The 14,465-nt window shown below is 62.0% G+C and overlaps 1 non-coding gene and 1 pseudogene across 1 annotated transcript; one reads left to right on the top strand and one right to left on the bottom strand.

Annotated features, from left to right (window-relative positions):
- Positions 1,562-14,130, top strand: MSLNL (mesothelin like; annotated as a pseudogene).
- Positions 13,281-13,375, bottom strand: MIR662 (microRNA 662). Its single transcript, NR_030384.1, has one exon. It is a non-coding gene; the product is annotated as a microRNA 662 (primary transcript).

Below are 14,465 nucleotides of genomic sequence, written 5' to 3'. Positions count from 1 at the left end.
GGTAGGTGGGCCAGGCCAGGGCTCAGCCTGGGTCACCCAGCACCCTGTCCCAGTGAGGGGAGAAGCCTGGCAGGTGGGCTGGGAAGTCCCTCCTGTGTCTTCTCCTGCCCTGGCCTGCCTGGTGGAGCCCGACAGTGCATACTTGGGTGCTCTTGCCTGCCCACCTCTGAGCTGCGGCACCCACGGAATGGCCGCAGCCGTCACCATTCCTGGCCCCCGCATTGGGTACTCGTCTGCCTGATGTCCCCGCAGAGGCACACATGGTGGATCTGTGTCCGTGCTCCCGGGCACACAGACCAGGAGGCCCGAGAGGCACCTGTGCACACGCAGGCACCAGCAAACACGGCAGACTCAGGTGCAGGCGCACGACATGACCCCTGGGGCACAGACGCTGCAGAGCAGGGCCCCAGTGGGTGGGGAGGGGTGTGAGCTGGGCAGCTGCCAGCCGTGAGCTCAGCCTTTGCTCTAGGGGAAGGGAGTAGGTGCCCATTGTGCCTGAGGTCCCCAGGGGCTGACGCGGTGCATCGCCTGGCACAGCCCGGGCCTCCCCCACAGGACTGCCTGGCGGGCGTCACCGTGGGAGTGGGACTGGGCGGGGCGAGGCAGTCTCATGCCGCCTGCCAGGCCAGGCATGGAGGTGAGCGGGGACCCCGGCATCCCCGCCCTGCACCGCCTCTGCACCCGGGCGCTCAGTGGTAGCGGCTGACGCACTTGGCGGGCTGGGATTGCGTCTGGATCACCTGGTCCACAACTCCCTGCCAGGAGCAGCCACCCCACAGCCTGGGCAGCACCTCCCTCCACCACACCCAGGGTTTCTGCTCAGGTGAGAAACGCTGGCGGGAGCCACCACCAGCCCACCCGCAGGGCCGGTCCCGGACCTGTGGCTGGGCCTGAACCTCTGCATTTGCCTCTGCATGGGGCAGCCTCCCTGTCTCCCTCCTGGGCCACAGTCAGGAGGCCCAGAGGTGCCCAAAAGCCATCAGGCTGGCTCCAGGAGGAGGCAGTGACCCACAGCAGTACCGGACTCCTCTAGGGTCCCTGGCCTTGCAGCTTCCATTTCCAGCATGGTTGAGGCTACCCCAGCTGCCACTGGGGGCTGGATGTCAGCGAAAGAGCCCAACAGCTGGGGCTCAAAGAGGGAAAGGGAGCTGCCAGGGCTGCCGGGTGTGGGGATGAAGCCAGGGCTGCACGAGGCTGCCTGGGGGACTCGCTGTTTGTTGGAAATCTGTTCATTGGAGACCCAGCAGCCCATGGGTCCCCTAGGCCCCGACCTGCAATAAGAAAGGCCCCAGGGTTTCACCCGGCTCCCGCTCCCTGCTCCTGCCTTTTACTGTTTATGGGATCCTTTCCCCTCGAAGGTGGGAGAGGCGCAGCTCTGGCCCCGCTGCCCTGGGTGAACCTAGACTGCACCCTCCCTCTCCACACCCCAGGGGGTGGGAGGCAGTGCGGGGCCAACCTGTGTGTCTCACCTGTGTCTCGCCTCTGTCACGCCTCTCCAGCTAGTCCTGGACCCACTGCCCTTGGCCCCAGCACCTTCCTGCCCTGGGACGTCTCAGCCAGGATGACCAGTGCACGCCGCCGCACAGACGTGGGCCCCAGAGTGGGTGAGACGAGACCTCCATGCAGAAAGGGGGCCTCCAGAGTGCCAGGCCCTCATGGCAAAGCCATCCCGTAGACATGGGAGTGCCCAGGGCCCTGGCCACCCCATTCTCCTGAGCGAGGGTCTGTCCCAAGCCAAGGAAGGAGAAGGTGGGCCCTGCCCAGCAGCAGCAGGACGGGGGTCGGGCTGCCAGGGCACTGTGAGCCCAGCCCTCCCCAGCAGGCATGGGGGTCCTGGGAGGGTGAGGCAGGGCAGGCAAGTTTGGCTAGAGGGGGCCACTCCTGGCCCAGGCAGCTGGACATGGCTTCTGGGGAAACGGTGTGGGGGTGAGTGGAGACAGCGTTCTCTCGGGCAGTCCGGCCACAGGCAGGGCTGGGCTCTGAGGCCAGGGTTGCCCAATGCCTCACCCTCCCTGAGAGGGGTGGGCCGGGCCCCAGCAGCCCAGGAGGCCGTGGTCAGATTTCTGTGTGGGCTGTGGCAACCCCTGCTTGACGCCTGCCGGAGAAGAGACTTCACCACGTGGTCTCCCCAGGGCCAGCAAGATAAGGGGGCTCCCCTGCACCCAAACCCCCTTCCTGGGCTGGGTTTCCAAAGCAGGAACATGGGCTGGGCTCCCAGTTCCTGCTGGGAGGCCCTGCCGTGACCCCCACTGCAGAGCTGAGCAGCCGGGGCCCTTGAAGGTGGCTTCTGCCCCCACAGCTCTGCTGCCTTAGGGGTCTCAGGGCTCCACTGTGAGAACACAGAGCCATGGGGCGTCTGGAGGGAGGTAGAAGGAGCTCACACACATGCACCTGCCATCTCACACATGTGCAACACAGGTGGACATGCGCACACGCTGCCAGAGTCATGCACACAACTGTCACCTACCCGTGCACACTGTCACCTACCCATGCACACAGCTTTCACCTACCCGTGCACACAGCTTTCACCTACCCGTGCACACAGCTGTCACCTCCCCGTGCACACAGCTGTCACCTACCTCTGCACACCGTCACCTCCCCATGCACACAGCTGTCACCTCCCCGTGCACATAACTGTCACCTACCCGTGCACACAGCTGTCACCTCCCTGTGCACACAACTGTCACCTCCCTGTGCACACAGCTTTCACCTACCCGTGCACACAGCTTTCACCTACCCGTGCACACAGCTGTCACCTACCCGTGCACACCGTCACCTACCCGTGCACACCGTCACCTACCCGTGCACACAGCTGTCACCTACCCGTGCACACAGCTGTCACCTACCCATGCACACTGTAACCTACCCGTGCACACCATCACCTACACGTGCACACAGCTGTCACCTACCTGTGCACACTGTCACCTACACGTGCACACTGTCACCTACACATGCGTGCCTGCACGCATCCACAGTCTCATGCCTGTGCTGTATACCCGTGCACACTGTCACCTACCCGTGCACACTGTCACCTACATGTGCACACTGTCACCTACACATGCGTGCCCGCACGCATCCACAGCCTCATGCCTGTGCTGTATACCTGTGCATACTGTCACCTACCCGTGCACACTGTCACTTACACGTGCACACTGTCACCTACATGTGCGTGCCTGCATGCACCCACAGCATCACGCCTGTGCATGCTCCACCAGACACGTCCTGCGCTTGGGCCCAGGCTGTGCACAGGTGGCCAGTGCTGTGGGGCTCCAGAAGTTCCTCCATGTCCTCTGGCCTCAAGCAGACCCCCATGGTGGGGGTCACAGGTCCACCCTGGGACCCGGATGCCCCGGCCCCTGCTCCCGCCGGGACCCTCACAGCCCACCTTATTCCAGGTGCCCTGCAGAGCTCAGGCCTCACCCTCCTGCTGTCCCTTGCTGCCCACTGCTCTGGGCCCCAGGCCAAGGTTCTTTCCCCAGGAGGGCTGGATGCCAGCGGGGCCAACCTGTGGGCCAGGTGAGTGCAGCCCTCCTGCAGTAGGGGTCTGCTTCTTGGTCAGGCCAGGGGAGGGGTCAGACGAGGGGATGGGGAGGGGTCTGGGGCTGGCCGCCAGCAGTCTGCACGCTGAGGCTGTCATCTCTTGCTCCACCTTGGGGGGCCCTGAGATGACTCAGCGTCCAGTGTCCAGCTTTGGATCTACATAGCCGGGTGTGGGTCCTTCAGCCACTGCCGAGGCCTCAACCGTCAGGCCCTGCCGCCTCTGCCCACCCCAGAGGACACTCTGGTTCCCCGCACTGCCTGGAACCTCATGCTGGGCTCGGCCCTCCTCCCCATCCTTCAGAGTTAGTGACAGTGACAGGCTGGTCAGTTGACTAACCAGGGCGTCTGTGAGGCAGGGCTGGGGTCCTGAGTGGCACAAGGCCCGCTCTGTGTTGGACTGGATTAGACTCACACCACAAGGAAGGCTGGGGAGACGGCTTCCCCGGGGCTGCCCAGCAGGTGCCAAAGCCCTGGGTGGGGGTGTCTCCTCCTCAGGTGCCTCAGCAGCCAGCGGGGATGTTCAGGGAGCCACCTGAGCTCCCGGCCGGCTGGGACCCAGCCTCAGGAGGAAGTGCTGTCCCAGGGTCTAGGCAGGGGCCACACATAAGGCTCTGTGTGCAGCCCAGAGCCTGGCCCCACAGGGTGTTCTGGAGAGAATGAATGAAAGACAGAATGAATGAATGAGTGAGTGAGTGAATGAGTGAATGAGTGACCGAATGAATGAGTGAATGAATGAGTGAAAAATGAGTGAACGAGTGAGTGAAAATGAGTGAATGAGTGAGTGGGTAAATGAATGAATAAGTGAAAATGAGTGAGTGAATGAATGAGTAAAATGAGTAAAGAGTGAGTGAATGAGTGAAAATGAGTGAATGAGTGAAAATGAGTAAAAATGAGTGAATGAGTGAATGAATGAGTGAATGAGTGAGTGAAAATGAGTGAATGAGTAAAAATGAGTGTGTGAATGAATGAGTGAATGAGTGAGTGAATGAGTGAGTGAGTGAATGAGTGAGTGAGTGAATGAATGAGTGAATGAATGAATGAGTCAATGAGTGAATGAGTGAGTGAGTGAAGCAGGACCTTGCCTGTGTCCGGGGCACCACCTCCCACTCTCCCTCCTTCAGTGCTGGGGAGCGGTGGAGTCAGACCTTGGTCCTGCAGGCTGCGTGCGGCCCATGCCCTTCTGCTAGGCAGCCCCCCTCAGCTGCTTCCACCCCTCCTGGACCCTCCCTGCCCCTGTCTCCTCCTCTCTGCCCAGTGCCAACTGCTCCCTGCTGCAAGGCTTCTGGTGCCAGCCGGCCAGCCAGCTGCCCCGGGACCAGCTCTCAGCCCTAATCCAGAGGCTGGCCTTGCTGCAGGTCCCCCTCCAGGCCTGGCAGGTGAGCGGGAAGGAGTGTGAGTGGGTGGGCGGGTGACCGAGGCCAGGCTCTGAGGGATGGGCCCGGATAGGGAAGGGCACATGGGCTCAGGTGTGAGAGGCGAAGGACGGCTAAGCGAGAGCTGGGGCACAACCCAGTGTGACCACGGTCGGGACAGGGTGTGTGGCCCCCTAGAGCAGGAGGGCTGTGTGGAAGCCAACCCACCAACTTCAGAGCCACCTGGAGTGTGTCTCTGCGGCCCCCCAGGACGGGAGGTCCACCAGGAGGCAGGGTGACTTTCGGGTGCAGCCCAGGCTTATCTAATTCCAGGACGTTGTAGCCAATTTGCCTGCAGATGCTCCCCACTGTGTCCCCAGTGAGGACGAGGGTTCACCCTCCCCTCCCCACCCACCTCCGCGGGGAATGGTGCCCAACTTGGGGTGCATACTCGGGGCCCCCAGAGCGGATTTTACAGCCCACAGGCTTCTCCCTGCACGGGCTGCAGGATCCTGGCCTGTGCGGGGCCGTCCAGGAAAAGGGAAAGGCAGAAAGACCTCCACCCCTTCACGGGAAAACCACACAGTGACATAGTTTAGAGTTATCTGAGCGGTATGAGTGATCCCGGCCCGAGGAAACAGACTCAAGAGGTGTGAGCGCCCTGAGGCCGGCGGGTTGCAGGCTGGTTTTCTAGGCATCCAGGAAGCAGGAGTTACAGGCAAAGAGGCAGGGAACACGGGGTAGGCAGATATCAGCCCGTTCTCCCTGAAAAGGCAGGATATCTCAAATTGGGGGCTTATAAGTCATAGGTGGATTCAGAGACTCTTTCGTTTGTAACCGGTTAAAGGAATAAAGCCCTGTGTAAAACATGGACTCAGCAATAGGGAATGCTTTCAACTCAGACAAGGAGGCCACAGGAGGGACAGAGGGACAGCCAGCAGGCACCACCTCCCCTCTGCCTGGCACGGCCGTAGGTCTCATTTATAATTTGGTATCTTATTGCCACAGTCTTTTTTTCTCTTTTATTTATTTATTTATTTATTTTTTTTTTTCTTTGAGACAAAGTCTCGCTCTGTCGCCCAGGCTGGAGTTCAGTGCTGCGATCTCGGCTTACTGCAAACTCTGCCTCCCAGGTTCATGCCATTCTCCTGCCTCAGCTTCCTGAGTAGCTGGAACTACAGGCGCCCGCCACCACGCTCGGCTAATTTTTTCTATTTTTAGTAGAGACAAGGTTTCACGACGTTAGCCAGGATGGTCTCGATCTTCTGACCTCGTGATTCGCCCACCTCGGCCTCCCAAAGTGCTGGGATTACAGGCTTGAGCCACCATGCCCAGCCTATTTATTTATTTTTGAGACAGAGTCTCACTCTGTCACCCAGGCTGGAGTGCAGTGGCACGATCTCGGCTCACTGCAACCTCTGCCTCCCGGATTCAAACAATTCTCCTGCCTCAGCCTCCTCCCAGATAGCTGGGATTGCAGGCGCGTGATACCACGCCCAGCTAATTTTTGAATTTTTAATACAGACGAGGTTTCACCATGTTGCCCAGGCTGGTCTCAAACTCCTGGCCTCAAGTGACCCGCCCGTCTCGGCCTCACAAAGTACTGGGATTACAGCCATGAGCCACCGCACCTGGCCTTTCTCTTCTTTAAAACATATAAAATTTTATTATGGTACTTATTTTTTGAGATAAGATCGCACTCTATTGTCCAGACTGGAGAGCAGTGGCACCATCTCAGCTCATTGCAACCTCAACTCCCAGATTCAAGCCATCCTCCCACCTCAGCCTCCCCAGTAGCTGGGACAGTTGTTTTTGTTTTTGTTTTTTGAGATGGAGTCTCTCTCTGTCACCCAGGCTGGAGTGCAGTGGCACGATCTCAGCTCACTGCAACCTCTGTCTTCCGGGTTCAAGTGGTTCTCCTGCCTCAGCTTTCCAAGTAGCTGAGACTACAGGCGGCCGCCACCACGCCCAGCTAATATTTTTGTATTTTTACTAGAGACGAGGTTTCACCATATTGGGCAGGCTGGTCTCAGACTGGCCTCAGGTGATCCGCCCGCCTCGGCCTCCCAAACTGCTGGGATTACAGGCATGAGCCACGGCGTCCGGCCTAACTTTGTGATTCTTTTTAGAAACAGGGGTCTCACTATGTTGGCCAGGCTGGTCTCGAACTCCTGAGCTCCAGTGATCAGCCCTCCTCAGCCTCCCAAAGTGCTGGGATTACAGGCATGGGCCACCACACCTGGCCTGCTTTTGGCCTTTCTTTTGATAATCAAACAGGCTGAACATTCTGTTCCAGCTCACAGGCGTTCTGGGTGTTTGTGGGTAAGAGTTTTTCTTCCCCTCCCTCTCAGCCAGGAGGACCTTGCGCTGCAGGAGGCTGGCAGCCCCTGCTCCATTCCCCGGGGCTCCTTTCAGGCTGCAGGAGGGTCCCCGAGCCCCCACCCTGGGTGGGCTCCTCCTCAGGGATGAGACCCTGGTGAGGGCCGCACAAAACTCTGGGGCTGTCCTTGTCTGCCTCGGAGCCCCTCGCCTTATGCACCGTACGTCCCAAGGGCTTGCTTGACATAAAATCAGGCAAAGGGCCCTCTGAGCAAAGGGCTAAAAACCCTTGAAATGACCCCAAAGGCCAGGCTAGACAAGCCTAGGCAGGGGGCGCTGAGGCTGGGCAGCGTGCTGCATAGGCTGAGAGGGGCAAGCAGAGCCTCAGGGAGCATGGGGTGGGGGGTGGAGGCCGGGCCTGGCAGAGCCCCGATGCCAGGAGGAGGCTGTCAGGTGGAGCCGAGGGGCACCACCCAGAGTCCACTTGGGAAGCTGCCAAGGGGCTGTGCTGGAGGAGACCCCCAACCCCAGCGTCGTGGGGCCTCCTTGGTGGAGACAGGCAATCGTCTACACCCGCCCAGCATCCGGACGTGTGCTTTAACACCCCGTCAGTGAGGAGGCGGCTTTGGGGCTGGGGGCGGCCGTTTGGAGGCCTGTTCTGCTGTGCGGGGTTCCCCTCCAGGCAGAGGGGCAGGCACGGGTGGCCGTGGGGATGACCCGACATGTGGGAAACGGGGCCGAGAAGTGGGTGGGGACTGGGGCCTGAGGCCTCCGCAGAGGGGAAGGGCGCCCACGGGCTGCCACGGCGAGTCCAGAGTCACGAGGGAGCGCCGTTCTGCCCAGCTCAGCTGCTTGGCCAACCTGGCGTCACGGTGCGGCCTCCAGGACGACTTCACGCTCCACCCACCCAACCTGCTGCTCTTCTACAAGTGAGTGCCCCTCCCTGCCCGGCCACCCGGCCACAGGAGTCCTGGGGGCCCTCAAAGCCCCAGGGGCATCTCAGGGCTGCTGGGAGGTCCGGCCCCACCCCCAGTCGGCCTGACAGCCTCACACTCACCTGTAGCCTGAGCCAGGTGCGGGAAGCCGACTGCCGGGCCTTCATCCGCCGTGCCGCCCAGGGGGACGTGGAGCTGCTGAGCCATCTACCCGACCAGAGGGTCGCCCTGTGGCGTGCGGCTGTGGCCTGCCTGGTGGGCGCTGGGTGGGGTGGGCCGGAGCGTGTGGGGGGTGGCTGTGGCCTGTCTGGTGGGCGCCTGGGCAGGATGGGCCCGGTGCATTGGAGGCAGCCTCCCGCTGGGCGCCGACCTGCTGGCCCTGCAGGGGGTGGCCCGCCTGCGACTCAGCGCCTCCGACCAGCAACTGCTCGGGGCCCTGGTGTGTGACATGGACGCGTCCAGCATCGGTGCCGCAGACCCCCACATGCTGGAGAACCTGCGGCGCTGCCCCCGGCTGACCGCTGCCCAGCGCATTGCCCTTAACTCACTGCTGGCCGGTGGGAAGACCTCGCTCGGGTGGGTGGGGTCACAGGGCTGGGCAAGGAGGCGGGGACGAGACGGGAGGCAGCCCGGGGTCGGCCCAAGAGGTCACCGATGTCCGCAGCCCACTGACATCTGACCTCTGGCCTCAGCCTCACTGGGTCCTGCGGCCGAGGGGGCAGAGGGTTGGGGTGCTGTCCCGCTGGCTGTGGTGGGGGCATCCCTCTCGTGGGTGCCAGTCGGGGGCTGGGTGGTCAAGCACCTACTGGGTGCTCCTCCGGCCTGCTGGGTGTCCACAGAGGGGCAGGGGCTCCCAGGGCGGGGGGCCTGCCCTGGACCCAACACTGCGCCCCATTCTGTGCACAAGGCCCCCTGGCTCCTGGACACTGGAGGGGCTACAGGCCCTGGGGCCCCTGGCCACATACATCAGCCCTCACCTGTGGGCGCAGGTGCAGGAGGTAGGAGGGGGCCCCGGGGTGGGCACAAGCGGGCCGTGGCACGGGGACCTGGGCCACCAACCTCAGCCCACACCTGCCCCGCCAGGCCGTGGGCCTGGGCTTCTTCCGCAGCGTGGTGGCTTCGTGCCAGGTGGGAAGGCTCGGCCAGCGCGAGGCCAGGTGCTTCGTCACCAGCTTCCTGGAGTCCAAGACCAAACCAGTGTCCTCCAGGCCCAGGCTCAGCACAGGTCAGGATGGCCACTGAGGCCTGCGACCCTGCACCTCACCGGTCCAGCTTTTCCCTCGGGCCTGGCTGACTTCAGAGAAGTAGTTTGGACAAGTTCTTGGTTAGAACTCAGGGAAAGCCAAGGTCTGACCAAGGTCAGAAGTGGAGGGGAAGGGGTCAAAGAGGGGGCCTGGGCCGGGCACGGTGGCTCACACCTGTAATCCCAGCACTTTGGGAGGCCAAGGCAGGCACATCACTTGAGGTCCATAGTTCGAGACCAGCCTGGCCAACATGGGGAAACCCCATCTCTACTGAAAACACAAAAATTAGCCGGGCGTGGTGCCTCATGCCTGTAATGCCAGCTACTCGGGAGGCTGAGGAGTGAGAATCGCTTGAACCTGGGAGGTGGAGGTTGCAATGAGCCAAGATTGTGCCACTGCATTCCAGCCTGGGCGACAGAGCGAGACTCTGCCTTAAAAAAAAAAAAAAAAAAAAAGGGGGCTGGGCACAGTGGCTCAGGCCTGTAATCCCAGCACTTTGGGAGGCCGAGGCGGGATGATTCATTTAAGGTCAGGAGTTCAAGACCAGCCTGGCCGACACGGTGAAACCCCGTCTCTACTAGAAATACAAAAATTAGCTGGCATGGTGGCGCATACCTGTAATCCCAGCTACTCGGGAGGCTGAGGCAGGAGAATCACTTGAACCCGGGAGGCAGAGGTTGCAGTGAGCTGAGATCAATGCCACTGCTCTCCAGCCTTTGGCACCCTGCTGCTAGGCAACAGAGCAAGACTCTCTCACAAAAAAAAAAAAAAAAAAAAAAAAGGCGCCCAGAGCCAGCAGTGGTGGTTGGCCCAGGCCCCGGTTACCAGCCTGGACCCCACACACCCCCCAGGGGGACCCTGTGTCTGAGGCAACATCACGGCCGCCACGCTGCGGGACGACCTCTTCCTGGTGCACTACGACTGTGCAGAGCTTGAGTCCTGCCTGGATGGCTGCATCCTCAGAACCAACCTGGACACCCTGTTGCAGCACCTGCTGCCCACTGAGTGCCAGCATGTGGTCAAGGCCAAGCTCGCACAGGTGCACGGCTGGGCTGTGGGGACAGGGAGGCCGGTGGGCGCGGCACCTCTGCTGACCCTGCCTAGCCCTGCCCACCTGCTCAGATCTACCCACAAGGCCTCCCGGAGGATCAGCTGCGGCTCATCACCTCGCTGGTCTACCTCTACTCCCGCACCGAGATCGGCCAGTGGAGCATCACCTCCCAGGACACGGTCATGGCTCTGCTGGCCTCCGACGTGGCCCTGGAGAACCAGACAGAGGTGAGGGCACCTGGGTGGGCGGGCAGGTGGGTGGCCCCAGGCCCCAGCCTGCCCCACTGACCCGGGCTCTGCCCCCAGGCTGTGCTGCAGAAGTTTCTGGAGCACAATGGCACAGTCTCCGGTGCCCTGCTGCTGGCCATCGGGGGCACCCGCCTGTGCTGGATGAGTCCTCACCAGATCCAGACCATCCATCCCCAGGAGCTCCGGTGAGCCAAACCCAACCCCAACCCCCCACTGCCTCGGAGGCAGCTCCCGCCTCAGCCAAGGAGGACCGCGAGGGGAAACTGAGGCCAGGGAGTGCAGCTCAGCCAGGCCATCAGGGGTGCATTAGTCCCAGGGCTGCCCTGGCTGGACTCTAGCTTTGAGCAAAGTACACAAACTGGGTGACTTTATTCATTTTTTGAGACGGAGTCTCGCTCTGTCACCCAGGCTGGAGTGCAGTGGCATGATCTCGGCTCACTGCAAGCTCCGCCTCCCGGGTTCACGCCATTCTCCTGCCTCAGCCTCCCGAGTAGCTGGGGCTACAGGCGCCCGCCACCACGCCCGGCTAATTTTTTGTATTTTTAGTAGAGACGGGGTTTCACCGTGTTAGCCAGGATGGTCTCAATCTCCTGACCTTGTGATCCGCCCGCCTCGGCCTCCCAAAGTGCTGGGATTACAGGCGTGAGCCACCGCGCCTGGCCTATTTATTTATTTTTTGAGGCAGTCTCACTATGTCACCCAGGCTGGAGTGCAGTGGCGCGATCTCAGCTCACTGCCACCTCTGCCCCCTGGGCTTAAGCAATCCTCCCACCTCAGCCTCCCGAGTAACTGGGATTATAGGCACCCACCACCATGTCTGGCTAATTTTTGTATTTTTAGTAAAGATGAGTTTTCACCATGTTGGCCAGGCTGGTCTGGAACTCCTGACCTCAAGCGATTCACCCTCCTCGGTCTCCCAAAGCACTGGGATAACAGGTGTGAGCCACTGCACCTGGCCAAATTGGGTAATTTTAAAGATAAATATATTCTCTCAGTTCTGGAGGCCAGAGGTCTGAAATCAGGGTGCTGGCAGTCCCCGCCCCCTCTGAACCCTGCAGGGAGGACCCTTCCTGCCTCCTCCAGCTTCTGGCATTGCTGACAAGGTTTGGCGCCCCTGGGCTTATGGATACATCAACCCCAGCTCTGCCTCCATCCTCACGCTGCGCTCTCCCCCGTCTGTGTCCACATTTCGTATTCTTTTTTTTTAAGAGACAGGGTCTCACTATGTTGCCCAGGCTGGTCTCAAACTCCTGGATTCAGAGCAATCCTCTTGCCTCAGCCTCCCAAAGTGCTGGGATTTACAGGCGTGAGCCTCCACGCCCAGCCTCAGATTTCCCTTTTTTGTTTGTTTGCTTATTTTTGAGATGGAGTCTCACTCTGCCACCTAGGCTGGAGTTAAGTGGCGTGATCTCGGCTCACTGCAACCTCTCTCTTGTCTCCTGGATTCAAGCAATTCTCCTGCCTCAGCGTCCCAAGTAGCTGGGACTACAGGCGCCCACCACGCCCAGCTAATTTCTGTATTTTTAGTAGAGACGGGGCTTCACCATGTTGGCCAGGCTGGTCTCGATCTCCTGACCTCGTGATCCACCTGCCCAGGCCTCCCAGAGTGCTGGGATGACAGGTGAGAGCACCGCACCCAGCCCTCAGCTTTCCCTGTTCTTAGAAGGCCTCCAGTCATTGGTTTAGGGCCCACCTGATCCAGTCTGACCTCATCTTACCCATCTGCAATGACCCTGTTTCCCAACAAGGTCACATTCTGAGGTTCTGGGTGGATGTGAATTTGGGGGACCCTGTTCCCCCAGGACAGAGGGTGAGAGGAAAGCTGTGGCTTGGGAAGGGAGGGCCATGCCCAGCGTTGGAAGGGTGGGGGGCTGGCGACCAACTCCTCAGCCTCCCGCCTCCCACAGGCTGGCCGGGGCCCTGGACCTCTCCTCCTGCCCCCAGAGCCGGAAGGACGTGCTCTACACCAAGGCCCATGAGACCTTCGGCAGCAGCGGGACCCTAGCTGCCTACTACCGCCTCATGCGCCCCTACCTCGGTGAGCCCTGTCCATGGGTGGGCACCCCTCCCCCAGAAGCCCCACCCCCCTCACCCCGTCCCCCCAGGCAGCTTCCCTGGTGGAGCCCAGCCCCCCTCACCCCATCCCCCCAGGCGGCTCCCATGGTGGAGCCCAGCCCCCCTCACCCCGTCCCCCCAGGCGGCTCCCCTGGTGGAGCCCAGCCCCCCTCACCCGTCCCCCCAGGCGGCGCCCCGGTGGAGGAGCTGCGGCACCTGGCCCACGCCAACATCTCCATGGACATCGACACCTTCACCAGCCTGAACCCCCTCGAGCTGCAGGTGGGGCTGGGCTACCCCGTGGGGGTGGGGGTGGGGGTGGGGGTGGGGGTGCAGGGCTGTCCCAGGCAGGGGAGCCCCTAGGTCACAGGTCACAGCCAGCATACCCCCACTTCCCTCCTCCAGGCCGTTTCTGGGCCTCACTCCCGCCATCTGCCCCATCCTGGGTCTGGCCCTACCCTGTGGGTCTTCCCCTGGCCCAGAAGTTGGCCCCACGGCCCCTCTGCCCCACCCCTCTCCGCAGAGCCTGGATGTTGGCAACGTGACTGCGCTGCTGGGCCACAACGTGGGAGACCTTCAGAAGGCCCGCAGCCACCCCACCGTCAGGGCCTGGCTGCGCAGCCTCAACAGCTCCACCCTGGGCCAGCTCGGCCTGGACGCCAGCCCCACCAGCCCCACTGGCCCAGCCCACGGCACCAGGGGGCCCCCCAGCACCACCCACCAAGTGCTCCATCTGGTCCACACCTCGGGCCTGCCCACGAACGATGCCCAGGCCTCCACCTCAGGTATGGCCCCCGCACCCCTCCGGCTTGGCCCCCTCTGCCCAGGGCCCTCTCAGACCCGTCCCCGCCTCGTGGCCACTCCCACAGGCCTGTCCACCAGCTTTGTCCATTGCCTCCTGGGATGAGGCTGGCCAACCCTGCTTCACCCTTCATTGACCACTGAGTTAGAGATACAGCTGCCTCTCCTAAAACCCACTGACCAGCAGAAAGTGGGAGCAGGGGAAACTTTGAGACCTTTGTTGGGTCCCAGGAGAGCAGCCGCAGGTGGGTGTCCTCGCTGGCTGTCCCCACCCTCCCCAGCCAGAGGGAGGGACTGCCCAGGCCTGTCTGGCTCTAGGGGGTGGATATGGGGGTAGCGTCTGGTGGGACTGATGGTGGCCTCCCTGTTCCATCTACAGGCAGCCTGTGGGCCCCCCTGGGGTACCTGCCCCTGGCGATGGCCCTGCCTTGCAGCCTCCTGTGCCTGCTGCACTGGGGGACTTGCATCCTGGTTTCTGTGGACAGCGTTGCCTCAGGGTGGCTGGGTTCACAGGGGTCAGGTGCAGGAAAAACAGAGGTGTTAGATTCAGCTGGACGCCCACTTGGGCTGACGGGCCAGCTCTAGGCCAGGCCAACCTACCCAAGCCCCACCTCCTAGACCGTCCCACCCATCCCCGCCTCCAGGCCCTGGGAGCTGGACTGAGGACCAGGCCCTAAGAAGGTGCCTCCCGCACAACCACAGGCCCAGGCGGGCCACGGAAGACGCTGCCCGGGCCCTGCGGAGGGCTGGGGCTGGGGCTGGGGCTGGGGCTGGGGCCGGGGCCGGGGCCGGGGCCGGGGTTGGGGTTGGGGTTGGGGCTGGGGCCGGGGCCGGGGCCGGGGCCGGGGCCACAGACTTCACTGCTGGACATGAATAAAGTCCACGGTCGTGGTCCTGCCTGTGTCTGTGCTCAGGGCCTG

The sequence above is a fragment of the Homo sapiens genome, chromosome 16 (genome assembly GCF_000001405.40).
Source record: "Homo sapiens chromosome 16, GRCh38.p14 Primary Assembly".
NCBI lineage: Eukaryota > Metazoa > Chordata > Mammalia > Primates > Hominidae > Homo > Homo sapiens.
The sequence above is the reverse complement of the archived record's forward strand: the minus strand, read 5'-3'. Positions and strand labels throughout refer to the sequence as shown.